Here is a 27,928-nt window from a genome sequence, read left to right on the forward strand (position 1 = left end):
GAAAATGAGCACGGATGTTCCTTACCTTCAACACAAACCCAGACAACAGCGGCAGTGTGCGCGGCCTCCCGGCCCTTTACCTTCAACACAAACCCGGACAACAGCGGCAGTGTGCGCGGCCTCCCGGCCCTTTACCTTCAACACAAACCCGGACAACAGCGGCAGTGTGCGCGGCCTCCCGGCCCTTTACCTTCAACACAAACCCGGACAACAGCGGCAGTGTGCGCGGCCTCCCGGCCCTTTACCTTCAACACAAACCCGGACAACAGCGGCAGTGTGCGCGGCCTCCCGGCCCTTTACCTTCAACACAAACCCACACAACAGCGGCAGTGTGCGCGGCCTCCCGGCGGCAGTGGGCGCGACCTCCCGGCAGCAGTGGGCGCGACCTCCCGGCGGCAGTGGGCGCGACCTCCCGCGGCAGTGTGCGTGACCTCCCACGTCAGTGTGCGTGAACTCCCGCGGCAGTGTGCGTGACCTCCCACGTTAGTGTGCGTGACCTCCCGGCGGCAGTGTGCGTGACCTCCCACGTCAGTGTGCGTGAACTCCCGCGGCAGTGTGCGTGACCGCGTGGCGGCAGTGTACGTGGCCTACTGGCGGGAATGTGCGTGACCTCCAGGCCCTTTACCTTTGCCTGTGACCTCCCGGCCCTTTACCTTTGCCTGTAACTTTCCCAGATTGCTTGTAAGTACGTGCAACGCTTTAAGACGTGACTTAGATTCTTTCAAAAATGTAGACTCCCCCAGGAAATAACTACTTCATCTTTTAGAATTGCACATAAATGATTTTTAAGATTCTTGAGTCTTCCAGAGTGGGAGAACGCACAGAACTGGAAACCTCGGGGAGATGCGACAACCTTTGTGTCCACCCCACTTTGCTGTGAGCCAGTTCCCTCAGGAACAATGTAGCCCAGTGGTGTGCCCTGTGTTTACTGCTGAAAATTCAGGAGAGAAACAAACCAGCCAACAATCAGAGTGAGCAAATCACTTCTATCCTACCTCTCATGAAATAATAGAATTTTTTAAAAAAGGAAAAAAAAATTCAAGAAAGAGTATAAGAAGGTCTCTAAATCAGTTTGGGATGCTATAACGAAAAATACCACAGACTGGGTGGCTTAAACAACACACATTTATTTCTCAAAGTTCTGTAGGCTGAGAGGACCAAATCGCTGGCAGATGCAGTGCCTGGTGAAGGCTGCATCCGCGTGAGACGTGCTGTCTCCTCATTGTGTCCCACGTGGCAGGGGGAGCAGAGAGGAAGCCTGCTCTCATGGTCTTCTCATAAGAACACTAATCCCACCATGAGGTCTCTGGCCTCATAACATCTGCACCCAAAGGCCCTGTCTCCAAATACCATCACAATGGGGACTAGGGGGCCCATATAAGAATTGTGGAGGGACAGAAATATTCAATCCACAGCAGGAGGCCTGCAGAATTCCTAAAAGAAAGAAAGTGTATTAAGCCAACAAAGAAAGAATATGGGGGAAAACAGCCTGGAAGAAATCTGAAAGACAATTATGAGAAAATGCTATTGACTAGACATGGGTTTTGAGGAGCTCCGAGTTAAGGCTCCACAGATAAAAACTGCTCTGGGATAGTTGTGGTGGGTAGTTAACATGGTAACCACAACAGAAGCACCTGGACCCCTCTGGCCCCTACATCTTCTTCCCCTTTACGGAGCAGTGGTCGGGAAGAGCATTTGCCCCTGAGAAGGCAGGAAGTGAGATTTCCTGAGCAAGAGAATGAGGAGCGTGCCCAGGGAGCTGCTAGCATCCGAGAAAGAACTCATCCATCCTGAGAGCCCTCAAATAGCGCCTCACCTGCAGTTGCTACCCACGACTGACTCCTAGAAACAGAAGACCCCAACAGACCATGACTGACTCCTAGAAACACAAGAGCCCAATGGACCATGACTGACTCCTAGAAACACAAGAGCCCAGTGGACAAGGATTTCAAAGGAAAAGACAAATCCACAAGCATTTGGGCAAACCCTGTGCCAGGAGTCAAATACACCAAACTCGATGGAAAGAAGCACTAACAGCAACCTAATTAATAAATATAACAAGTGTAACTAATTATGACAAGGATATTAGAGAAGATTATTTATACCTTACAAAGAAATACCTGGTGATCTCAGAATCTTTTAAATATAATTGTCAAAAAATTCATGGGTGATCTAAAAGGTAAAATGCACTCAATTGAAAAGCAAATTAGTTGAAATATTTTTAAAAAGATTCTCCCAGGAAACTAGCCAAAAGATCCAAATGTGGAAAGTGTTTGAGAGTTAGAAGCACAAAGAATATTCCAAAATCTTAGAAATGCCCATGGGAGAAGTGCCAATGGAAAGTGGAAATAATTACAGAAATGATAGAAATCGATTTCTAAAAGCTGAAAAACAACTCAAGTCTCCAAATTTATAAGGGCCACTGAGTGTCAAGAAGGATAAATAAAAAATAATGAGAGAGGCCAGGTGCAGTGGCTCACGCCTGTAATCCCAGCACTTTGGGAGGCTGAGGCAGGCAGATCACGAGGTCAAGAGATCAAGACCATCCTGGCCAACATGCTGAAACCCTGTCTCTACTAAAAATAAAAAAAAATTAGGTGGGTGTGGTGGCACGTGTCTGTAGTCCCAGCTACTGGGGAGGCTGAGGCAGGAGCATCACTTGAACCCAGGAGGCAGAGGTTGCAGTGAGCCAAGATGGCGCCACTGCACTCCAGCCTGGTGACAGAGTGAGATTCCATCTCAAAAAACAAAACAAAAAATAGACAATCCTAATTTAGTCCATGTTTTACACCAAAAGTACAAGTTGAGGGGTACTTAAAAATTGGTGTATTAATGTGTGCGTGTGTGATATATGTAACACGGATCCCTCCATAATGTATCAGGAGAAGGCTCAAAAGGAACACAAGTAACTATTAATAGTGGAACTTCTGGGAAAATGAGTAGATTAAAAAAAGAAGAGAAGAGTGAAGGTCTTCACATAACTTTATGTGGATTGCTTGAATCTTTTATAATTAAAATGCCTTCGTGTATTATTTGACTTAATCCGAAACTAATTGAAGAAAATTAGTACTATTTTAATTGATTAATACCCTTTTAAATAGAAATTTTAAATTAACATTTAAATAATAGTATTTTACTTAATATTAAAAGTAAGATAATTTAAAATTTAATAACTAGGAATATAAGAAAATAATATGAAATATTCCACCACTTAATATTTAAATTCATATCAGATATATAAAATGTGACAACTAAAAGAACTTTCATTATTAGAGGAAATTTGGAATAGTAGGTCTTGTTAACTAGTAAATGCTTATAATGCCATACCAAATATTGAGCTTTCAGAAAGTCACACTAACAAGAATAAGAAATTCTATAGCCAAAGTCTTTCAATAATATGTTGGACATGGTGCCTGCACATATTAAAGGAAATGGCATAAATTAAAGGGCCCCACAAGTTAAAAATAAATAAAAAGACTTGTATCAATTTCTCCAACAAAAATAGCCTTATAACAAGTAGATCTGGTTTGCTTAGGAAGAAGTAACAGAGAATTTAAATATCTTTCAGAAAGAGAGACATGAAAGATCATCCAGGCTTTTCTTTGAAATGAAAGTATTTATTAGCTAGCACTAGATTAACTTTCAATAAAATACAGGAGCCCAACCTCGCTTCTTAAAATTAAGTTAATTTTAAAAAGGACCCTTGGCTGGGTGTAGTGGCTCACTCCTGTAATCCCAGCACTTTGGTAAGCCAAGGTGGGAGTATCGCTTGAGCCCAGGAGTTAGAGACCATCCTGGGCAACATGGTGAGATCCCATCGTTACAAAAAAAATACAGAAATTAGCCAGGCATGGTGGTGCATGACTGTGGTCCCAGCTATTTGAGAGGGAAAAATTGGAGGATTTAAAAAAAAAAAAAAAAAGCACCCAGACCATCAGCATGTGTTAGTTATAGCACCTGGACATGGATACTCAGCAACACTTTCTGAGTGAACGAGGAACGGGCTCTGATAATCCCCTGGCGTGCCCACATTGGATTGGTGATGCTGATGGACACTGCATGAGCAAAATGCCCTCTAAATTGAGCAGTACTTTGCTTTCACGGCCATGTCCACCACAAACCAGCTGTAAAGATCCTAAGCAAATAATTTCCTGATTTTATAACATTAATATTTGTCTTGATTATCTTCCCACTTCAAAAGAGATGGTCATATGAAGTATATGCTAGTGTTCTAGGTAAAAGGAATATTACGTAATGATATAAATCATTCCAGTACAATGTCATAATTGCTACACAGTACTCTCCTTTTCAATATTTCAGCAACAAAACAGATTTTTACATGACTTTTGCTCTGCAGACAGTGAGTAGTCAAGGCAGAAAGCACTGGAATTTCCAAACATTTTATCTGCGTCTTGTAAAATCACATGAATGATGAGACCTCATGAACAATAATTTGGGTCAGGTGACATGGTGTGTCTGCACATACAACATGCAGGCTCAATCTTTAACCACTTGGGTTAGCCTGTAACATTGGAAAAAAAAAAAAAAAGAAAGAAAATGAGGGCAGGGAAATTCGCCACGAGCAAGGGACACAGTGTGACGGCCACAGAGAAAGTGAAGGAAGTTAGAGACGGGCACAAAGTTGCCATTCACACCCAACAGAAGATTTAAATCTGAGCTTCTGATTACTGATTGCTTTGTTCACTCCTGTATACAACGAGGGAGGAAATTAATCAGTTCTTTTTTTTACCACAAGATTAGAAACAGCTATTCAAAAGAAAAGGGGATGCTGATCACTCACTAAGTAATCTGATAACTTTTTAAATTCCACCCTAAATAGACAAGCCCTAAGTCATTCTTTCACAATCATAAAAAGGCTTCACATTGCTTATGGACAATATGTCTTTGGTTACAAAAAAAATAGTTTGAAAAATAAGGTAGATAAACTTTGTACTCAAGTGAAATTGAAACACTACACGAAATGCTTACGCTGTATGGAATTTAAAGGTATTTTGCATGGATATATATCAAAGGCCAAATTAGCAATTCTAAAAAATGTGATAACGTGCATTCACTAAGTTTTAGTGAGTCTTACAGCATGCATAGATACTGACTTACACAGGTGTCTATAAAGTAATGAGCAACTCTACAAGCTCCATATAAAAATTAATAACAATATCACCCTATGTATTAATCACACCTCTATACACTTTACATGTGTTAACTTATTCACTCCTCACAACAACCCAATGAAGTAGCTGCTATGATTATACCCATTTCAAAATGTAAAAAATGAGGCACAAAAAAGTTAAAAACTAAAACTGTCCAAAAACCAGCTCTGAAGATGTAGAATCTGGATCCCAATCTAGAATCTAGAAGCAGAGTTACAACCACTGCATGATATCTTGCTCCATGCCTCATGCAAACATGCAGCCCTAGTCACATTGCAATTTATAATATAAGCCATCAAGAAGAATGTTTACTGGAGTGGAAAGGGTTAAGACTGTGAGAGGAATAGATGGTCAAAGAGCAACTCTGAACTAAGTAGTCTCAGGGTGGCTATATCTTATATAAATAAGATTATGAGTCCTATGAAGAAGTCAACATAGGCGAAAGTACACTGAGATTGGGACCCAAGCATTGACCTGGTAACACTGAAGATGAGTTGGTTATTTTAAAAAATTATCCTAAATTCAGGCAGTTGTAAAGGATTTAATTTCCAGCCTATTTTAATACTGAAAAATTTAAATAATTGATTACATTATTAGCTTAAGTATATCCAGTGATATTTACGTACTATATAAAACTAAGCCTTTATAAATAAGCTTTTCTCACAGCCAGAAATTTTACATTGCTTTTTTCTCCTTAAATCCATTTTCATCCTCACAGAATTTTTTTTATGTAACATACTTGTGCTTAAAAGTCTTTTATTGATAACCCAATCATATTCTGCAAGCAATATTCTAGATATAAATTTAAATTTGTTATACTTAGTATTTCATGTGACCATAAGTCACGTAAATATTTAAGAAGTTCTTCAGAATTGTATTATCATTACGGTTATTATTAGAACTCAATTTTAAAAACACATAAATATTTTTTAGATTTTAAGTGATTGATAAACCTGAAGTCAGTTATTATTGGAAATGCATCTCTTCATGAGATGAATGGAGCTTATTTTTTCCAGTGGGTCACATTTCCACAGATGTTACTGCTACAATGAGGTCGGATTCAACATCCGTTTTATTCCTACTTTTCACTTTTATAGATGTAATTTCTAAAACCTTGTTCCCATAAACAAGTAGATGGAAATTGAAGGAGTTTGTTTATAGCAACGTCACTCAATGGTTTTAAATCCTTTTGAAGTATATGCTGAAAATTCCATAATCATTTACATTAACAACAATCATAGGTAATTATCTAGCAGCTTCTCCTCCAGAGCAAAGAAGTGGACCCTACCTGGCCCACGAAAGCATTTTCACGCAGTCATCGGAGTCATTTTCTTTTTTTTTTTTTTTTTTTTTTTTTGAGACGGAGTCTCGCTCTGTCGCCCAGGCTGGAGTGCTGTGGCGCGATCTCGGCTCACTGCAAGCTCCGCCTCCCGGGTTCATGCCATTCTCCTGCCTCAGCCTCCCAAGTAGCTGGGACTACAGGCGCGCGCCACCACACCCGGCTAATTTTTTGTATTTTTAGTAGAGACGGGGTTTCACCGTGTTAGCCGGGATGGTCTCGATCTCCTGACCTCGTGATCCGCCCGCCTCGGCCTCCCAAAGTGCTGGGATTACAGGCGTGAGCCACCGCGCCCGGCCCGGAGTCATTTTCATGCAGTCGTCATCAGAGCCATGAACTCTCTCAACAGTGATATCCCTCGTCCTTCCTTTAGGGCTACTCCAGGTTTTTATAACTTGGGTCAGGCTCCCAGAAAGATTCATACCTGGGAAGACGTGCTTTCCAACTGGGAACGGGGAGGCAGGAAAGGAAAGGCCAGTTCTTTCATGTCAGGCTTGTTCTCAGGGAGATTAATTTTAGGAGAAACTAAAATGAAGCTAGGATCTGAAAGTGATCTCTCTTATACGAAGTCTCGCACCTGTTGAAAAGCCTTTGGTTACCCCCAAGATATACATTCCCGTGTGAGTTCAGGTCTGTGGGTTTGGGAGAGTGTGGGAAGGACACGCCCCCAGTTAGCCTCAGTCTCCCCTTCTGTGAAGGGGGAGGTAGCGATCCTGCATCCTTGTGACGACAGTGACAGTGTCTGGCGCATGGAGCTTGACACCAAGCTGACACTCAGTGGCTGAGCATCTTCCCTTGTGCTTGTCACTGCAGCTCAGGCTTCCTGTGTCCTCTTCCCAGGGTCACCTCGAGGCCTGTCTCCTGTGGCTCTGCTCTGGGGTTAAAATTTTTTGTATTCTTTCTGCCACCTTCCTGCTCTCCCAGTCCCGAGTGGCCGCATCCCTGCTTAGCACAGTCTCCTGTTTTCTTTCCATCATAGCGTCTAACCTTACATGATTGTCTCATCTTGTTTTGTCTTGTTTGCTTGTTTCCTTTTATTACGTGTTGCCGACCCCTGGAAGGTTGGCTCTGTAGAGCAGGATGCCATCTGCCCAGAGCCTTGAGTGGCGCCCAGCAGAGGAGAGCTGTTGTAAATGATTGTTTGATGAAGTAAAGGAGTGAGTGAATGCATTAGTTTGCCATGGCTGCCATAGCAAAGCACCATAGACTGAGTGGCTTAAACCACAGACATGTATTTCCTCACAGTCCTGGAAGCTGGAAGTCTAAGATCAAGGTGTTGGCAGGGCCAGTTTCTTCTGGGGTCTGTCTCGTTGATGTGCAGGTGATGGCCTTCCCTCCTTGCCCTCCCTCGGTCTGTGTTCATGTGCCTTCCTCTCCTCTGCTTCTAGGAGCCCTGTGCACAAACATTCGTAGCAACTGTATTTTTAATGGCCAGAGATGAGACACAGTCCAGTGCCCATCCGCTGGGGAATGGACGAATGTATCGTGGGACACCTGCATGAGAAATTCACTCAGCAAATGAGAAAGAACAGCTGACAGCAAAACGGCACAGGTGAACCTGGAAGCAAGATGGTAAGTGATAGACGCCAGAAACAAACACCCTGCAGAAGTGGGTCCATCTATGTGACACTGCAGGAAAGGCAAGACTTTAAGGACAGAAAGTAGATCAGTGGTTGCCAGGAGCTGAGGCTAGAGAAGGGGATTGACTTCAAAGGGGATTGATTTGATGGGAGCTGGAAAACTGCTATAATTTCATTGTGCTTATGGTTACTGGAGTATATATACTTGTCAAAACCCATCAACTGTACACTTAAAATGGGTAAATTATATATAAATTTAACTCAATAAAATGGATTTTACAAAAATCAGAGCATAGCAAAGATTCTTTAGAATCCATATTTTCGTATGATAGCCTACCACAGAATTTTTGCAAATATATTTTTCACATATATTTTGGGGGAAAATACACACATGCAAACACACACACACATTTATATGTAAAATAAAGCAAATAGAAGTGTAGGTTTTATTTGCAAAGTTGTTGAGAATGCTAGGGTGGTGGAGAGCCACGTCAGGCCGAATCTCAGCTCTCCCTACAGCTGCCGAGATGGTGCCTCACAACGTTTCCTCGTTTGACTCCCCAGACCCCAAAGCCTCCTGAGCAGTCAGCGAAGACGCTGGAAGGATCCCCGAACCGTCATTATTTACCTCCATTGACTGAAGCACATTTAAAAGTTGGTTTACACTTTCCACTCCATATCATTTAATAATGTCATATTGAACTGTTTCCCCAAGCAATAAAAAATAAATCCTTTAATGCTATAGACAAAGTATAATAGCACTCAATAGAAAGAAAAGAAATTTGAAGGGCTTAGATTTCTTACTCTCCAATTGGAAAAGTAAGAATTTTGGGGAAAAAACACTTTTGCCTAGAAAAGCATATTCCATAGAGGACAGATGGAAAGGATATTTGTGTTTAATTTAAATGTTCTGCAAAAGTTCACTCTTCCAGCACCACGGCAACACCCGCAGGTCTCTGACAAGTGACAAGAACACTTTATGCTGAATCCTCAGCAGGATCTGAGACCTATTAGGGATTTTGAATCCATCTGGAGCTCGAGGAATCTCTGAAATGAGGCAAACCAGGGAAGGGCTCTGAGGAGACTTCCACACACTCCTCCAATCACACATGCAGCCCAAATTCCCCAAGTTTCCTGTTCTGGTTAATTAGAGATCCCAGTTTCATGATCACTGACTGCCCTTTCTTCGGGGGCTGGTTTGGTTTAACGATTCCTGACATTTCATCCACGGCACTGAGCTTTTTTACAGCAATAGAAAATAACAGCCTCTCTCCCTGACAGCAGAGCAGGTTGTTCGATGCTGTAACTAGAGGAACAGTGATGGCTCTCCTCTGTGCTAACTCACGGCACAATAGGTGGGACATCAAGAATAATGACATCAAATGGCCGTGGAAACGGATTCGCAGGATGCGCAGGTGAACGCCCATTTCAAGCTAGACACTCTCTTGTGTCCTGTGCCGCTTCCAGCAGCAAAGAGTTCTCACCGCTTTCCGCTCCTCGTTTGAGTGTGGGAAGCTGCCAGGAAGGCTCCTTTTGAAAAGCTGTGATCTGAGGGTCCAACCAAACCTGGGGCTTTGAGGACTCTCCCCAGGAGGCAGCCCCTTCAGTACCTGTGCGGAGGCAGTGATCAGAATAAGAGGAGTGCAGGAAATGCAAAGGCTACCTGGTGACAATCCAGTGTTTGGGGCCAGCAAGGACTTGTTGAGATCAGCGGTAAGAACTGTGGATAATGACACAAGCAGCTGCCCAAGGGAGCCTGAGGGAGAACAAGCATTAATGACCTCAGAGACTTGTTCTCTTTCTAGTCTTTTCCTGAAATGCCAAACCATGGAGCCAGTTATCAATCAAGGGAGTGAAATATATCGGAGGATGGGTTTGGTTTGCTACAGTGACAGCCAGCTTCGCTTTTGAATACTCTTTGAAAACAATTTTTACCGTGCAATGCTGGAAAAAGCCAACAAATAATAAACCTGTCGCAGTACTCACCAAGAGCTCATAAATACAAAAGTCAGCCTTGCAGCTGCAAAGAAACGCCATTCCTAAGCTTGAAAAATTGTCAGTACTCAATCATTGCATCTGATACCAATTTTCATTTCGGGCTGTGATTTGGGACGACTCTTATCTTCAGCACTCCAGAGGCGGGAGCCTCCTGCTCCCACTGGGCGGTCTTAGGGTTAGGGTGGAGGTGCTGCCATCAGATGGAGATAACAGCAGTTCTTTGAGTTCTTTTTAATTTTCCCAGCTGTGCTGCAGTTACACACCAATAAGCTCATCTTTTCATTTGGTTCAAAAAACTATGCAGAACTGTGCTAGTCCTGCATTTTTGGTGATAACATTTCAAAGGTAAGAGAAACACATTTAATGACAGCCATAGGCCCTGGGCTCTGCCTGGGAGCCCAGTGCTCCTCCTCCTGAAGCAATTCTCATTATGCCACATCCCCCAGACACTTTGTTACTGTCTGCCTGATTCTCGTCCGCCTTCTCTGCCCTTAGGGAAAAATCATCACACAAACCCTGTTGAGAGAAATGAGAACTTTACTGAGGAGCCCTGTGTTGAGTGGACACACTTCAACAATTTCCTGTAGCTTTCATGGGATTCAGCTGCAGCAAATGTATGACCTGATTCTTCAAAGGAGGACCAGGAAGCTGCCTGCTGGGTTCTTTGTGGAGGGTTCACTGTGAACAGGAGGAATTTGCTTCCATGAAGCATAGTGTTGCTTCTAATCAAGGGAAAGTTTCCAGGTTCTCAGAAGGTTCCCATTTCCTGAGAGGTGCCAGGTCACATACTTTGGTGTTGAAACTAAAAGTTACTGGATTTGGAAGTGACAGCTATAGGCCTATATTCCTCAGCAAGGTGCTTCTCAGTAGTGAGAGGTCGCTTGTTAAACGAGTTGTCTTTTTCCACATTCGATTTCCTCGCACCTGGACTGCGTGGTTGGTGGAGAGGTACACACAGCCCCCTGTGGGGTCTGCTCTTCTGTGAATCTAATGCACGTCACCTCCTGTTTCCTAGGGAGCATCTCCCTTTGTTGAGCCTCAACGTGCAGTTATTTTTACATGATCTCCCTCTACTGAACCCCTCTGAATCTAGTAGGCCATTTGTGTACAAATGTGACAATTTGTTTTTTAATTTTTAATTTTTTAACTTTAGGTTCGGGGGTATATGTGCATATTTGTTATATGGGTAAACTTGTGTATCAGGGGTTTGTTGTACCCAGGTACTTATTTTATCACCCAGGTATTAAGCCTACTACCCAAAAGCTGTTTTTTTCTGATTCTCTCCCTACTCCCACCCTCCACTCTCAAGCAGGCCCAGTATCTGTTGATCTCCTCTCTGTGTCCACGTGTTCTCATCATTTAGCTCCTTCTTATAAGTGAGAACATGCAATATTTGGTTTTGTGTTCCTGCATTAGTTTGCCAAGGATAATAGCCTCAGCTCCATCCATGTTGCTGGAAAGGATATGATCTCATTCTTTTTTATGGCTGCATAGTATTCCATGGTATGTATATACCACATTTTCTTTATCCATTATGTCATTGATGGGCATTTGGCTTGATTCCCTCTCTTTGCTATTGTGAACAGTGCTGCAGTGAACATAAGCATGCATGTGTCTTTACGGTGGAGTGATTTACATTCCTTTGGGTATGGACCCAGTAATGGGATTGCTGGGTCATATGGTAGTTCTGTTTTTGGCTCTTTAAGCAATCACTACACTGCTTTCCACAATGATTGAACTAATTTACACTCCCACCAACAGTGTATAAGAGTTCCCTTTTCTCTGCAACCTTGTCAGTATCTGTTCTTTTTTTTTTAACTTTTGAATAAAAGCCATTCTGGCTGGTGTGAGATGGTATCTCACTGAGGTTTTGATTTGCATTTCTCTGATGATCACTGATATTGAGCCTTTTTTCATATGCTTGCTGGTTGCATGTATGCCTTCTTTTGAAAAGTGTCTCTTCATGTTACGATTTGTTAGTGTGCTTAAGCAACCATGTCCAAAATGGTTAAGAATAGACAAATCACTCCCAAGAAAGACAAAGAACCGCACCATTAGTGGTTACCTGGTAACATACAAGACCCTCAGACCTAGAGGGACTTCCTCCAGAGACCGACGGCTGACATAGCAGGAACCCTACAGGCTGTCTCTCCTGATGCCCCAGTGCGCTGCTTTCAGGGAATGGTCCCACAGATGAATGTTCAGTCCTAGCAAATGAAAACTCAACAACAAAATGTGTTGCTGTAATAGAAAAAGTAATGTTGTCTGTCCAGACTTTCCATGGAAATATTGGTTTATACACTCACTATTGACAAATTAATCTCATTTGAAAACAAGTAAAATATAGCTACATGGTATAGCAAAAACATATGCCTTTTTGGCAATTGCTATATCAAAAATAATTTACTCAACTACTTTTTACTGGCTGAATTGATCAGTTGTTAAAGCCAAAATAATCTGGAGTCATCCTTGAAGTTGGTCACATCTAATCAACCTAAAAGCCAGCAATACAGCCTTCAAACTATATCTTGCATCGACCAATTTTCACAACCTCTACCAATTGTACTTAGTCATCTTATGACTCCAGCCTTTTTAATACTCTCCCTGTTTCTGTCTTTTCCATTTCAGTTAATTCTCTACACAGCAGCCAGGAAGCTCTTTGTAAATCATAAGCCATATCATGCCAGTCCTCTGCTCGAGCACTGCAAGGGGTTCCAATGGTCGGGTTTGGCAAACTTTTTCTGAATGTGGCCAAGTAATAAATAGCGTAGGTCTTATGTGACTACGTAGGGCCATGTGACTTCTGTTGTAACTTCTCACATTTGCCACTGGAGCATGGACGCAGCCACAGAAGATGCTTAAGTAAATGGGTGTGGCTTTGCACTAATAAAATCTTTATTTACAAACCCAGTGCAGGCTGCTTGTGGACCAAATTGTTTGGTGACTCCTGGAATAGAAGATCATACATGATCTTGCTTCTGGCTCCCTGTGCTAAAATTCTCCCACTTAGTAACTTCACTTTAATCGTAATGCTCTCCTTGCTGTTCTGGAAAGTGCCCAGTACAATCTCACCTTGATTCCTCTGCATTTGCTCTATGTTGTCTTAAAATACTTGATTTAGATACATGTGGCTGTGTAATAAATCATACTGAAACTTGGTAGCTTAAAACAATAAAGACATGTATTATCTTTCACTATCCTCTGGATGGACTGGGCTCAGCTGGGCAGTTCTTCTTTCACATGTGGTGTCAGGGACGCACTCACCTGGAGGAGGCTCAACTGAGCAGAAACACAACAGATGGCTCATTCACCTGCAGGCAGCTGGTAGCAGCTGGTATCTGGATGCTCAGCTGGAGGTAGGTCCTCCTCCATGTGGCCTGTTCATGTGGCTTGAACTTCTTATAACATGGTGGCTGCGTTACAAGAAGGAATGTTCCAGGATCATAACAGTGGAAGCTACAGATCTCCAAGGTTCCCACCTGGGAACTCACAGAGCATGGTTTCTTCTATAGACTGTACATCACAGCAAGGTTCAGGGGAGGATTCTGAGAACACCTTTCAAGGGGAGGATTAGGACACAATTTGCAGCCCTCTTCAATCCACTACATGTTCTTCCCTATCTGTTTTATTTAGGTTCAAATGTGACCTTTTCAGACAGGCCAGTTGTGGCCACCCTTGCCGTGTACTCAAGAAACTTTTTATCTGCTTGACCTAATTTTTCTTACTGCAATTGTGCATTGTGTATATTTATTTGTTCATTTTTTTGTTTTCTCTTTTCCTACTGCTAGAAGAATGTGTGTTCCCTCTTTGTCTGTCTGTTCATGATTCTCTCACCAGTTCCTAGGATAATTCCTGACACAAAGAAGGCATTCACTAACTGTTTCCTGAATGAAGAAGTGTTGGCTGTATAATACGGACTGTGCCAGCCATGGAGGATAAAAAGATTAATCAGATCGTATTTCTGCTCTAAAACATCTCATGACCTAAAACTGAGAGGCTGCTGATCTGGAATTGATGCTATGGCTTCTCAACTTCAACAGTTTGGAAGAGAATCACAAAATTGTGTCATTTATAAGCAAAGTTCAAAGTACTAAAAAAAAATAGGAACACTACATATTTCAATGCATGAGTACACATAGGGCTCCCCTCCTCTGCCAATGGCAGGGACTACCAGAGCTTCTAAAGGCATTTTAAAGTTACACTGTGAGGAGTGTCAGACTGATTAACATTTTCAGCCAACGCTGTTGAAGGTGGGATTTATCAGATTTTTTTTCATTTATATTTAAATTCTTAAATTAAGGAATAAGAAACATATTAATAAAAGCCTTAGTGATATCTTCATAGTATAAAGTATGACTTACTTTATTAATCTATTAGCATATCTTATCATATTCTGTGATATTTATAACCTGAAAAATGTCAAGGAGAGAGATGATACCAGGACTGAGAAAACATGTTAAACCATACTTGATATTTTCATTAATATTTGAGACAATATTATTTACTAAATATTGAAGCTCACAGAGAAATACAAAATAATAGCAATTAACAGTAAAATTTACTAAAATCTAGATATCCTATTATTCATTTCTAGTTTTAGCAATGCTTTGATTTTAAAGAATAAGAGGCTGGGTGTGGTGACTTACGTCTGTAATCTTAGCACTTCGGGGGGCTGGATCACCTGAGGTCAGGAGTTTGAGACCAGCCTGGCCAACACGGTGAAACCCTGTCTCTACTAAAAATGCAAGAATTAGCCAGGCATGGTGGTACATGCCTGTAATCCCAGCTACTTGGGAGGCTGAGGCAGGAGAATCGCTTGAGCCTGTGAGGCAGAGGTTGTAGTGAACCAAGATCATGCCACTGCACTCCAGCCTGGCCAACAGAGCAAGACTCCATCTCACAAAAAAAAAAAGAGTAAGAATAAGAGACACATGTTCACACTGTATATGTATTTTGGGACAGCTAGAATAAAATGATATGTAGTATATACAAATATATAGTATATACATATATAGTATATACAAATATATGATGTGTGTATATAACATACATATGCCATATATATGGTGTACAATTTTTAAAAATGATTTTTGCATTTAAGATTTAATCTTGTTCCCATAGTAGCGTAGATCTTAAGTTAGTCTTGGCCAGAGGGAAATCACTCCAACAAACCTAGCAATGTGGCTGATGTTTCTCAGAGGGTCGGAAGCACCTGGAGGGATCCCAGAAAAAGAAAAAGGTTATGGGATAGCAGGTATGGTTAGAACGGTGAGAGTTAGGGTAAAGGTTAACGGTGCAATAAAGAGACAAAAATAACATCACTCGAACAAGATGGAAGATTGTTTCTGTTTCATATGGGAGTCCATGCGTGGGCAGGCAGTAGAGGGCAGTGAGGCATACCTTCTCAATAGTGCTTCCCCCAATCTAGGTGACTTCTATATATATATAGCGTTGGTTCATGCGCTGTTATTGAGTGTGTTGCACCTGCACACTGGAACTCAGATCACCACCACACTCCCACATTCTTGACCCTGGACAGGGAGAAAGGCTGTGTGCAGGGCAAACCGCTTATTTTCATATATGTATCTGGAATTTACACACATTATTTTCACTTGTGTGTCTGTCACCAATGTTTACATGCACAGCTCCAGATGTGGTCTCTATTAGGGTGGCCAAGAGCCCTACAACAGTTCAGAGGGTTATAATCCTAAAGGGAAGAAGGGGAGAATGAAGACACAGAATAATTAGATGTCTGCAGCTTGGTATAGTTGACTAATTCTCCCATCCCCCAAACTAACTGATTATCTTTACTTAATCTGGACAGTAGTATTCTTAGTACTTGAACTTAATAATAGTTCCTTTGTTCTTTCAGAACAGAAAAATAAATTGAAAGGAGATTACACTAGAAAAAAATAATTTTCCCCCTCTCAAAATGTGGACAACAACACGCCAGTCACACACACCTGCAAGCACACGCACCTGCAAACACACGCACCAGCTAGCACATGCACCTGCAAACACACGCACCAGCAAACACACACACCTGCAAGCACACACACACCTGCAAGCACACACACCCGTAAGCACACGCACCAGCAAGCACACACACCTGCAAGCACACGCACCTGCAAGCACACGCACCAGCAAGCACACGCACCAGCAAGCACACACACCTGCTAGCACACACACCTGCAAGCACACGCACCAGCAAGCACACACAGCTGCAAGCACACACAGCTGCAAGCACGCACAGCTGCAAGCACGCACAGCTGCAAGCACACGCACCTGCAAGCACACACACCTGCAAGCACACACAGCTGCAAGCACGCACAGCTGCAAGCACGCACAGCTGCAAGCACACGCACCTGCAAGCACACACAGCTGCAAGCACACACACCTGCAAGCACACACAGCTGCAAGCACACGCACCAGCAAGCACACACAGCTGCAAGCACACACAGCTGCAAGCACACACAGCTGCAAGCACACGCACCTGCAAGCACACACACCTGCAAGCACACACAGCTGCAAGCACACGCACCTGCAAGCACACACAGCTGCAAGCACGCACACCTGCAAGCACACACAGCTGCAAGCACACACCAGCAAGCACACACACCTGCAAGCACACACAGCTGCAAGCACACAGCAGCAAGCACACACACCTGCAAGCACACACAGCTGCAAGCATGCACACCTGCAAGCACACGCACCTGCAAGCACACACAGCTGCAAGCGCACAGCAGCAAGCACACACACCTGCAAGCACACACAGCTGCAAGCACGCACACCTGCAAGCACACGCACCTGCAAGCACACACCTGCAAGCACACACACCTGCAAGCACACACAGCTGCAAGCACACACAGCTGCAAGCACACACACCTGCAAGCACACACCTGCAAGCACACATACCTGCAAGCACACACACCTGCAAGCACACACAAAATGAGTGCAAGAGAGAATGTGCTCAGTACTTGGTCTGGTGTTCCTTGATAGCAAAATAAATAATAAGAATAAAGGCAATGATGTGTTTTTAGATCTGCAACGTGAAAACAGGGGTGGGTAGGGGGTGGGGGACATTGGTTGAAAACCGAACCAAACAAAAAAGTGCAGAGAACACACGACCAATTCTCTCATCAAAGGATCATCTTACTGTGGCCAGGTGTGGTAACCCGAGCACTTGGGGAGGCCAAGATGATGAAACCCTGTCTCTACTAAAAAACACAAAAATTAGTAGGGTGTGGTAGTGGGCACCTGTAATCCCAGCTACCTGTGAGGCTGAGGCAGGAGAATCACATTAACTCCGGAGGTGGAGGTTGCAGTGAGCCGAGATCCTGCCACCGCACTCCAGTCTGGGCGACAGAGCGAGACTCCGCCTCAAAAAAAAAAAAAAAACCATCTTATTTTGAACTCCCACTCGAGAAATACACAGCCTAAGTTGGGTGATTATACACAATGGCCACGTTCTGATGTTCTTGAATTAAACACCAAAAAGTAAAAGCAAACACTTTTCATTTAGAAGATATTCACAGACCTACTACCGATATCTCCAAAATTTCATTTTTATAGAAGAATCTAACAACAGGTTTCATATATTCAACAGATTTTTCAAGGGAAACATAAAAGATCCAAAGAGTATGACAAGAATAGAGTGAAGAAAATACTAAACAAATACTTAAAGCTGTAAAATCAGCCTCCCAGATATAACTTTGTACTTGTCAACCTATTTTACATTGTTAGTTGTTTCAATGACACATATAACTTTATATAAGAGAAGATAACATTGTGTACATAAAACCTCAAATCCTATTTATTCAATGTCATTGGATTTGTTTTAAAACAAATCATTTTTAATAACTATGAAGACACTATGTAATAGTCTGGTGTCTTGATATTTCTCATGGCTATTACATGAGAAAGCAAAAGGAAGAAAAATGTTGCAAAAAAAGGACAAGAGCTCAATGAATTTATATAAATTATTGACAGTAAATATATATCACCATCATTCATTATATAATTGAGGTTCACTTTTAGAAATCTATTTTTTTGCAGTTGCACATTGATAGTTTATATAGGAAGGAATTCATTAAAAATATTTAATCATAAAAATTGAGTAGAAGAGAAAAAGACATTAAAAGTTGAATAAAATTTCTTAAGATTTGTCTGCATTACTATTATGATTTCATTTGGAAATATTGTGAAATTAGCAAACAAATATGTTTTAATTCTTTTATAGTAAACTGAGAAGCTCTTCTACCAACCACACAGAGTAATTGACTCAGAGGAGATTAGGTTAGACTCTGGAGCCTGAACGAAGCTTCAGAACAGGGATTAGCATGCTTTATTTTACTTTATTTTATTTTATTTTATTTTATTTTATGAGACAGAGTCTCACACTGTCACCCAGGCTGGAGTGCAGTGGCACAATCTTGGCTCACTGCAACCTCCATCTCCCGAGTTCAAGCGATTCTCCTGCCTCAGCCTCCCAAATAGCTGGGACTACAGGCAGGTGCCACCGTGCCCAGCTAATTTTTGTGGTTTTAGTAGAGATGGGGTTTCACCGTGTTGGCCAGGATGGTCTCGATCTCTTGACCTCGTGATCTGCCCGCCTCAGCCTCCCAAAGTGCTGGGATTACAGGCGTGAGCCACCGCACCCGGCCTAGCACGCCTTTTCTATAAAAAGTTAGATAGTGAAAATGTTAAGCTTTCTGGGCCCCGTGCATTCTCTGTTGCAACTGTACAAACTTTCTCAGCTTGTGGGCAAATAGTAGGTCCAGGCCCCGTTTGCTGATCCCCGCTCTGCAGGATTAACCAGGCAATTGGAATAATTCTCAGTTCATGCATATCTCCTCTGAGAATATGTCATTACCTATATACATAGTTATATTTATTCTCCTATAATGCTCATGTTTATTGCTTAAAATTTATTTGTAATGCATTTTAACAAAACTCCCTCTCCTCTCCTTTCACACAATAGCTAATCATCAGTCATAGGATTGCTTTTATTTTTACTTTGAAAGTTTATAATTTATCAAATATCCCAAAGTTCACACATATTTGTCCTTGTATTTGTGTGGAAGGAAAGACTAATCTACTATATAATGCTGACTGATGCTCTAGGCCTTGAAGGAAGCATATCATGCCTGCTATCTCAGTTACTCTCCACCACCATGCTATGAGGTAGGTGCTTATCCACATGTGAAACCTGGGCCCAAAACACCTCAGTGAGTCTCCCAAGGTCACCCAGTTTATAATGGTAGTGTCAGAATTTGAACCTTTCTCCTAAATTTAAGGCTAATCCCCTCTACCTTTTCTTTGAAAATCCCGAGCCGGGCAGGGTGGCTTACACCTGTAATCCCAGCACTTTGGGAGGCCAAGGCGGGCAGATCACAAGGTCAGGAGTTCGAGACCAGCCTGGCCAACATGACGAAACCCTGTCTCTACTAAAGATACAAAAATCAGCTGGGTGTGGTGGCGCATGCTTGCAATCCCAGCTAGTAGGGAGGCTGGGGCAGGACAATCACTTGAACCCAGGAGTTGGAGGTAGCAGTGAGCCGAGATTGTGCCACTGCACTCCAGCCTGGGAGACAGAGCCAGACTCCGTCTCAAAAAAAAAAAAAAAAAGAGAGAGAAAAATCCCAGTCCTATCTACATACTCAGGAAACTTACAATTAACATGACCAGAGAATAGGCCAAATTTGGTCCTTGCCTGTTTATGTATGGCCCAGAGCTAAGAATGGTTTTTATCATTTATCATTTTTAAATGATTGGAAAAAAATTTAAAAATAATATGTCATGACATGAAAATTACATACAGTTTAAATTTCAGTATCTATACATAAACTTGTATTGAGAATAGCCATGCTTATTATTTACATGTCGCATGTGGCTACAGGGCAGAATTGATTAGTGGTAGCGGATACTGTAGAGCTTGCAAAGCCTGAGACACTTTCCACCCGCTCTTCACAGAAAAAGCGTGCCAGCTCCTGGTAGAGACTAGAGACTACTTCTCTCTCTTTTACGCTCAATCTATCCTTCTAACTAGGTATTTGCCTAGTGCTCTTAATCATACTCAGCCCACTTTCATTACAAAAAAAAAAAAGACAAAAACAGAAACAAATCCCAGGCAAACAAAATCATCTCCCACTCCACCATTTACTCCCTCCCAGCCACCATCTTTACTCTCTCTTCACAGCCAAGTTAGTCTGGAGAGCTTTCAACACTTGTCTCCATTTCCTTATGCCCCACTCGCTCATCAACCCACACCATATTGGCTTTGGGCTGTCACTTTAACAAATAAGCTTTTAGTAATGCCACCACAGAACAGAGATATATTTCAGTCCTTATCTGTCTTGTCCTCTCAGAAAGATTTTGTACTACTGACCATTTTCTCAATTCTGGAGCAAGTTCGTTCCTTTGCTTCTGTATGCAAAAATGTACTTGCTTTGGCTCCAACTTATCTCGTGACTTTTTATCTGGTTCTTGTTCAGATTTATTCTCCTCTTACCAGAATTTAAGTAGCATCATCCCTCAGGGCCCTGGAGACCCTCTTCTCTTCTTCCAATCTCTGCAACCCATAGACAATATTGCAAGGCCCACTAAGCTGTCTGAATGTGAACCAAGTCAGAGGACTTCAGGAAGGATAATTTCACAAAGACAGCAGATTTGCTTTAACCAATTATATGATGAAGCAATAAGATGATGTCAGTGATAAAGAAAAACATAATCATTTTTCAGAAGAGGGAAGAAAAAATGTAATCAAAATATTTGGGGAAAGCAACAATAAAACAGTACCAGAAAGACACATGGTCCCCATGAAACAGAATACAATGTAATATGATTTTTAGAAATTAGCTAAATTTTTTTAAAAGAGAGCCTATTTAAACATGGCACTTGGAATATTCACCTTTGAGCGGTCAGCCTTTCCTTCTGACATATATCTATACGCAGCAACTGGTATATATATAATGGTTAGAAATACATGCTATTTTTATATTGACTGGTTTTCAATTTTTAGATCAATCTATACACAAAGCAGAGAAGACAATATAATGCTGTTCTTATAAAATTTTAAAATTTTTAGATAATTGTTGACGAACAGATTTCTGAAGTTGAGGGTTGTAGAAGGACATTGAGATCCTGAATTTATGTGGGGGGTAGTCAAGGTATAAAATAAAGACATTGAAATTTAAGTGTGTTAATATTATAAGGATATCAAATGAAAGGAATTGAGTACAATTCTACCAAATATTTGGAAGAGAAGGAAGAAGTGTAGAAGTGAGGTGAGATGAGAGAAAGTCAGCTGAGCTTGTCATCTGTTGTCCCAGGAAATCACTCAGCAGAGCTTGTGGTTGATACAGCAGGTAAAGGGGGAACATGATATCTGGGACAGAAACGTGACTCCCAGGAGAAAACTAAACAGGAGGGCTCTGTGGAATGACCAGGAGCCAGGTGAATGGACTTTGCTCTTGCTTTTTTTACTCTGAACTCTTTGAATTATCTATTTACTTTTTGGACTTGTTACTTGCATAATAGGAGAAAAACAGTAATTCAAACAAGTAAATTGGAGCTTGATTCTATTTAAATATTAAAATTTAAAAGGAACAAAACTAAAAGTACTGGAAGTAAAAATTAGAAAGCCACAAGAAAATAGATAAACTAAAAATAATTTGTTGAGATATTTATATTCTCAGGCATAAAACATCTTGATTTCACTGCCAAAAAACATGATATATTCTTAATATAAAAAGTGTATGAGTTAGAAATATATAGAATCACAAAGATATTTGTCATTTCACTTCAAACAACAACAAAAAAATGGTAAAACTGTCTTCAATTCTAGAATAATGTGAGATGAGAAACCTTAAGTGTTATCTATCCTTTGCTTACGTAATCCCTATGTGCCCTCCAGTGTCCGATATGCAAGTCTTTCCTCTGCTGTAAAACACAGCTTGGCAGCAAAATGTGCCATATATAACTGTAATCTTTAGTAATGATGAGGCACTCTGTAGATTCCAGCAGGTACTTTCATTACTCCCACAAGCTTTTAAGCACCCATTATTTTTAGTCTTATATTCTCATGAATATCTTTTACATTTTACATCTAAGGAGAAATAAAAGAATAATAATTATATTTAATTATTTGAATAGCTTTTTAATCACAAGTCTCTATGCTGGAATCTGAGGGATATTTAATGCAAAAGTCATACTTGCCCTCCATAGTCAGTTTCTTTCTGCAGTTACCTTATTGCAACATGCCCAGTAGTGATAAGTCCATTTTCCGTATATACACAAGCATAGAATCTAATTTTCAAAAGGCCACCTAGGAACCCAGTCTAAATCACACCAGATACCTACATTGCTTCTCTATTTTGCTGAGAGATTGTTATCCAACATCTGTTTGCACACTTCAGTGATAGGGAGAACACTTAAACACAATAGTGGTGATTTATTGTTGAGAAACACTAGTTATTAGAATATTCTATCTTATATTGCATTGAAATTTGCTTTCCCTTTAACCCTATGGGTCCTGGTGAGGTATTACTTTCATTTTTATTTTTATTTTTTTAATGTATTTATTTTGAGGCAGAATCTTGCTCCGTCACCCAGGCTGGAGTGCAGTGATACATTCTTAGCTCACTGCAGCCTCAAACTCCTGGGCTCAAGCAATCTTTCCATTTTTGACGTCCGAGTAGCTAGCACTACAGGTACATACCACCACAGCTGGCTAATTAAAAAAAAATTATAGAGATGGGATCTTCTTAGGTTGACCGGCTGATTTGAAACTTCTGTCCTCAAGCAATCTTCCTGCCTCTTTAAAGCAACGTAGACCAGTTCTATTATTTCTCGCACTTTGCACTTATTCAAGCATCCAGAGTTAGCCATAAGGCTTTGAAGGCTTCTTTCCACTCAGTTAAATAAGCTGATTTTATATGGTTGGCTCAGGGCACAGTTTTGAAATCAGACAGACAAGAGTTCAAGTTCTATATCTGCCATTGACTAGCCATAAAGCTTGGGCAGGAGACTTAATGTGTACAGATAATAATGGTAAGTGATCTATAAGTTAGTTGTGGGATAACACATAGGAAACACTGATAAATGACTGATGTGTTTGAATCATTTATCATTTTTGTAATATTAATATTTCACAGGATGTTATGAAGATCAAATGCTATAATCTGTAGGACACTCTAAAATTTGTCAGTTCTAAAGCATTGTACAATAGTAGTCGTTATTTCCAGTTATCTTTCATCTCTCAATTATAATGGTCAACCTAAATGAAGACAAAACTACGAGTATTTCATTCACAAGCTAAGTGTAACATCCCAAACCACTAGATACGCTGCACTTTCTATTTTTGGAAATGTATACTACGACTTACAATCAAGCATTAGTTCTGAAGTGACCTTTACAAGAATTTTTATCCTTAACATATGTTAATTCTCTATGTAAACTATTATGAAAATGAACCAGAATTGAACATTTAAAATAAACTTTTTGTGGAGCAACCAACAATTCCTAAATATTCAATATGACAATTGTAGTGCAAAAACAAATGCTATTATATTGAGGAATGCATATTATTATTTTGAATATCTACTCAAGAACTTTATGATTTTCAATAGTAAGCATGGCACTTTGTGTCTCTTTCCTTGGAGCTTATGAGTCTCGCCAAAGCCCATTGACATGGGGCTAACCCAGGGGCCACTAAATCATGTCATTATGTAACTGTTAGCCTACAACTAGCGGTCATCTTTAAAAAAAAAATGGCAAGTAGAATTTTATCACGGTATATTTTATCAAAATTTGTTTCCTTGTTTTAACATGAGTATTAATGAAAATAGTATTCCAGGTAACACCTGGACAATTCACATACAAATGTTCATTAGAAATAGCAAAGAAAGGAAAATACAGCACTTTACACTGAAATGAATAAAATGCCTCCTACTTTCTAGGCATTAAAGTGTAAATTGCACTTAATTATGAATACATTTTATAGCTTTATATTTAACTTAAGTTACATATTAAGTTTTAACATTTTGAGAGATTTATCCAAATATCAACTATTCACTTCCTTTAGGCCTTATTTTTTGTTTTCACGTACACAATAAAGCAAACTAAAAAACAAAACCATCAAACTCAAAATACATATAAAAGTGGTCCATCTATGGAGTTTATAGTCCAAAAGTTTCTGACTGATCAAAGGTAATCAGAAATTATTATTTCAGTGATAAGTTCCATTCCTCCCTAGAATCATTTACTGCCTTTTAACTCATTGCCAATGTCTGGATCACCAGTGTCTATGATGTCACTTTGTGAATTTTCAGGAACCTAACGTCATGCAATCTTAGGTAAAAATGGGGAGAATATTTGAAAACAAATCATAATTCAGACATTTTTATAGTGGTATTATCTCATTGATTCATTGTATTATTTACAATTAAGGACAAAAGGTAGGCAAAATAGACCTACCTGTCAATGGCCCCTCTTTTCTCAAGTTAGGACATTTTGCTTTAGAAGTCCTTTACTTCACTATATCAGAATATAGTAATATTAACCATTAAGTATAAAATTGAACTTCATTTTAAATGAAACACACATATGAATATGACAAAATTCATAAACTATATTTGTTGTTTACAGAGTTGATTATGACAAGTGGAGAAGTAGGAAAAATAGCTGGAAATAATGCTTAAAAGTATGTAAGAATTTGTAAAAAAGAAACAAATTTGGACAATAAAAATAAACACTAACTAATGCTAGGGACTGAATTATGTCCCCCTAAACTCAAATGATGAAGCCCCAGCCCCCAGTGTAGTGGTATTTAGAGTTAAGGTCTTTGGGAAATATACAGGATTAGATAAGATTGTGAGGGTGAAGCCCTAGCCCCCAATGCAATGGCATTTGGAGAAAGGGTCTTTGGGAAATATAGAGGATTAGATGAGGTTGTGAGGGTGAAGCCCTAGCTCCCAGTGTAATGGCATTTGGAGAAAGGGTCTTTGGGAAATATACAGGATTAGATGAGGTTGTGAGGGTGAAGCCCTCATAATGGTATTAGTGCCCTTATATGGGGGATGCCAGAGAGCTTGCTCCCCACCACCTGCCACATGTGAGGAGAAGGCAGCATCTGCAAGCCAGGAAGGGAGACCTCACTAGACACTGACCATCCCGGCACCCTTACCTTGGACTTCCAGCCTCCAGAACTGTGAGAATACATTTCTGTTGTTAAGCCACCCAGTCTATAATATTTTGTTACAGCACCCTGAGCTGACTAAGATGACTAATATTTTTTGAGCACTTATTCTATTCCATTCACTGTGCCAGATGCCTGACATGCATTTTATCATTTGGTCTCCATGAAAACTCCTTGAGATAGTTACTTTTATTAATCCGTGTTATGGATGATAAAAGCAGAGCCTTAAAAAATGTCTTAGTCCATTTTGTGTTGCTACTACAGAATACCTGAGACTAGATAACTTATAAAGAACCGTGATTTTTTTTTCTCACAGTCCTGGAAGCTTGGAAGTCTCAGATCAAGGCGCCAGCAGGTTTAGACCCTGGTTCCAAGCTGGCACCTTGTTGCTGTGTCTTCTAGAGAGGAGGAACACTGTGATGTCACATGGCAGGAAATAGAAGCAGGAAAGCCTACTCCAGCAAGCCCTTCTTATAGCAGCCTTCATCTATTCATGAGGCAAAGCCTCATGACTGAAACACCTCCTACTGGACCCCACTTTCCAACACTGTATCATTGAAGGTTTATTTTCCAACACATGTTTTCATGCTGCTGATAAAGACATACCTGAGACTGGGTAATTTGTAAAGAGAAAGAGGTTTAATGGACTCACAGTTCCACATGGCTGAGGAGGCCTCACAATTATGGCAGAAGACGAAAGGCATGTCTTACATGGCAGCAGGCAAGAGAGAATGATAACTGAGAGAAAGGGGTTTCCCCTCATAAAACCATCAGATCTTGTGAGACTTATTTACTACTAAGAGAACAGTATGAGGGAAACTGCCCCCATGATTCAATTATCTCCCATCAGGTCCCTCCCACAACACATGGGAACTATGGGAGCTACAATTCAAGAGGAGATTTGGGTGGGGACACAGCCCAACAATATCAACATGAATTTTAGAGGAAACATTCAGATTATAGTAAAAGGCAAATTAACGTTTCCTAATTTAGATAGCTAGTAAATACCTGCCCAGAATTCAAACACAGATCAGTCTAAAGCAAAATGCAGACACATAACTGCTACTATTTATGCCACTGATTTACAAAAATAAGTTGTAAAATAAATTTAGTTACTAATTACCAGCATTTTTTTAAAAAAGAAATCGACCAGGATATAATTGAAATTATACAAATATATTACAAAAAAAGAAAATGTCATTTTATTAAACTTTTATTTCAGAAGACAGATAGTCAGATGAGTGGGTGAGTGGGTGGATGGATGGATGGGAGAATGGATGGATGGATAGATAGATAGATAGATAGATGCAACCACACAGGTAGAGGCCATGTAAATGCATTTCTGCTGTAGAAATGCTATGTCCCAAAAATTAGTAGATGGAAAAATAACGGGGGCTGGATCACCAACCAATGGGCATTAACCTATTAGATTGTTGTGAGAATTGAATTAAATAGTAGATAACACCCAGGATATAGTGAGTGTTCAGTAAAGATACAATTATTTTTGTCACAAAAATTTTAGCATCTTCACTCTACCATCCAAAAAAAGCTAAGGCTGCCTGCATGTTAGACTTTTACAAGACTTGGGGGTCTCTCAATATTATCTACTCTAGTAGTTTCTAAGATTTTACTCCACTGTATAAACCAGATATAAGCAGCCTAGATGAAGTGAGGCAAGAGTCTTGTCTCTGAGCTTAGCCTGCCCTTTATGATCATTCAACCATCAGTCCCAAGTTCACTTAGGAAGTCGTTGCTGACTACCCCATCCACCGTTTGACTTACCACCCTGTTTGAGTCACTACTTGATAGTCTCTCCTTCTCTCTCTTTTTATTTTTTTTCAGTCTTTCCCCCCTTCTATCAAGAGCAAATATTAGGTCTATGAAAGCAGGATTTAGTATCTCTTGCTCATCAGCTTGAAATATGCCGGAAACACAGGAGACAATCAAAATATTTGTTAATTACTTATAGACAAGGTCAAATCAGTGGAATTTACTTTGATGCCCATCCAATCTTCCTTTACATCTTCTAGCCCTTGCTCGGGATCATTAGAACCGTCACCAAGAGATAACCAATATTATTGTGAGGTGCATTCAATTTCTTCACTTAGAAACAGCCTTGCTCCCCTCCTCTTACCTTTGCAACCTGGTTTTAAAAAGCCTCTAACCCTTGAATGGGATATGCATTTGAGTGGAATGTGCTGGAATGTTCAAGGCTGGCAGGTGCAGGATAAAGAGGAGAAAAGATTATTCAGATAATCACCTTTAACCCTTAGGAGTCTGGCTTCAGTTGACCAGGGCACAAGCTGCCACCCAGCTCAGAGCAATAACACCTCTTTGAAGAGAAATGTCACAAACCTTTTACACAGACAAGCGATGTTTAATGTTTCAGTTTCTTCCTCTTGTGAAAGGATGACCTCAATCTCCTTTGTCCCTCATTCTCAAATCCTTCGTTGGTAATGCGACAACCTCCCTCACTTCCGTTCCAGGTTGGCATCGTCACGCGAAGCTCTGCACTGAGGATCACTCCTTCCTGGGCTGTGTTTAGCCCGAGCTGAAATGTTTGCTATCATTTAGATGAGACCCTACCACTTTGTTCTATGGATCCCTGGAACATTGTGATTATCATAATGGGTGCAATTCTAAG

The 27,928-nt window shown here is 40.8% G+C and overlaps 1 long non-coding RNA gene across 1 annotated transcript; it reads left to right on the forward strand.

The window, feature by feature from the left end:
- Positions 1-565: 565 nt before the first annotated feature.
- LOC105377614 (uncharacterized) lies at positions 566-27,928 on the forward strand. The gene is made up of 3 exons (XR_939634.2): positions 566-681; positions 7,899-8,082; positions 27,771-27,928. It is a non-coding gene; the product is annotated as an uncharacterized LOC105377614 (long non-coding RNA).

The sequence above is a fragment of the Homo sapiens genome, chromosome 4 (assembly GCF_000001405.40).
Source record: "Homo sapiens chromosome 4, GRCh38.p14 Primary Assembly".
In the NCBI taxonomy this organism is placed as follows: Eukaryota; Metazoa; Chordata; class Mammalia; order Primates; family Hominidae; genus Homo; species Homo sapiens.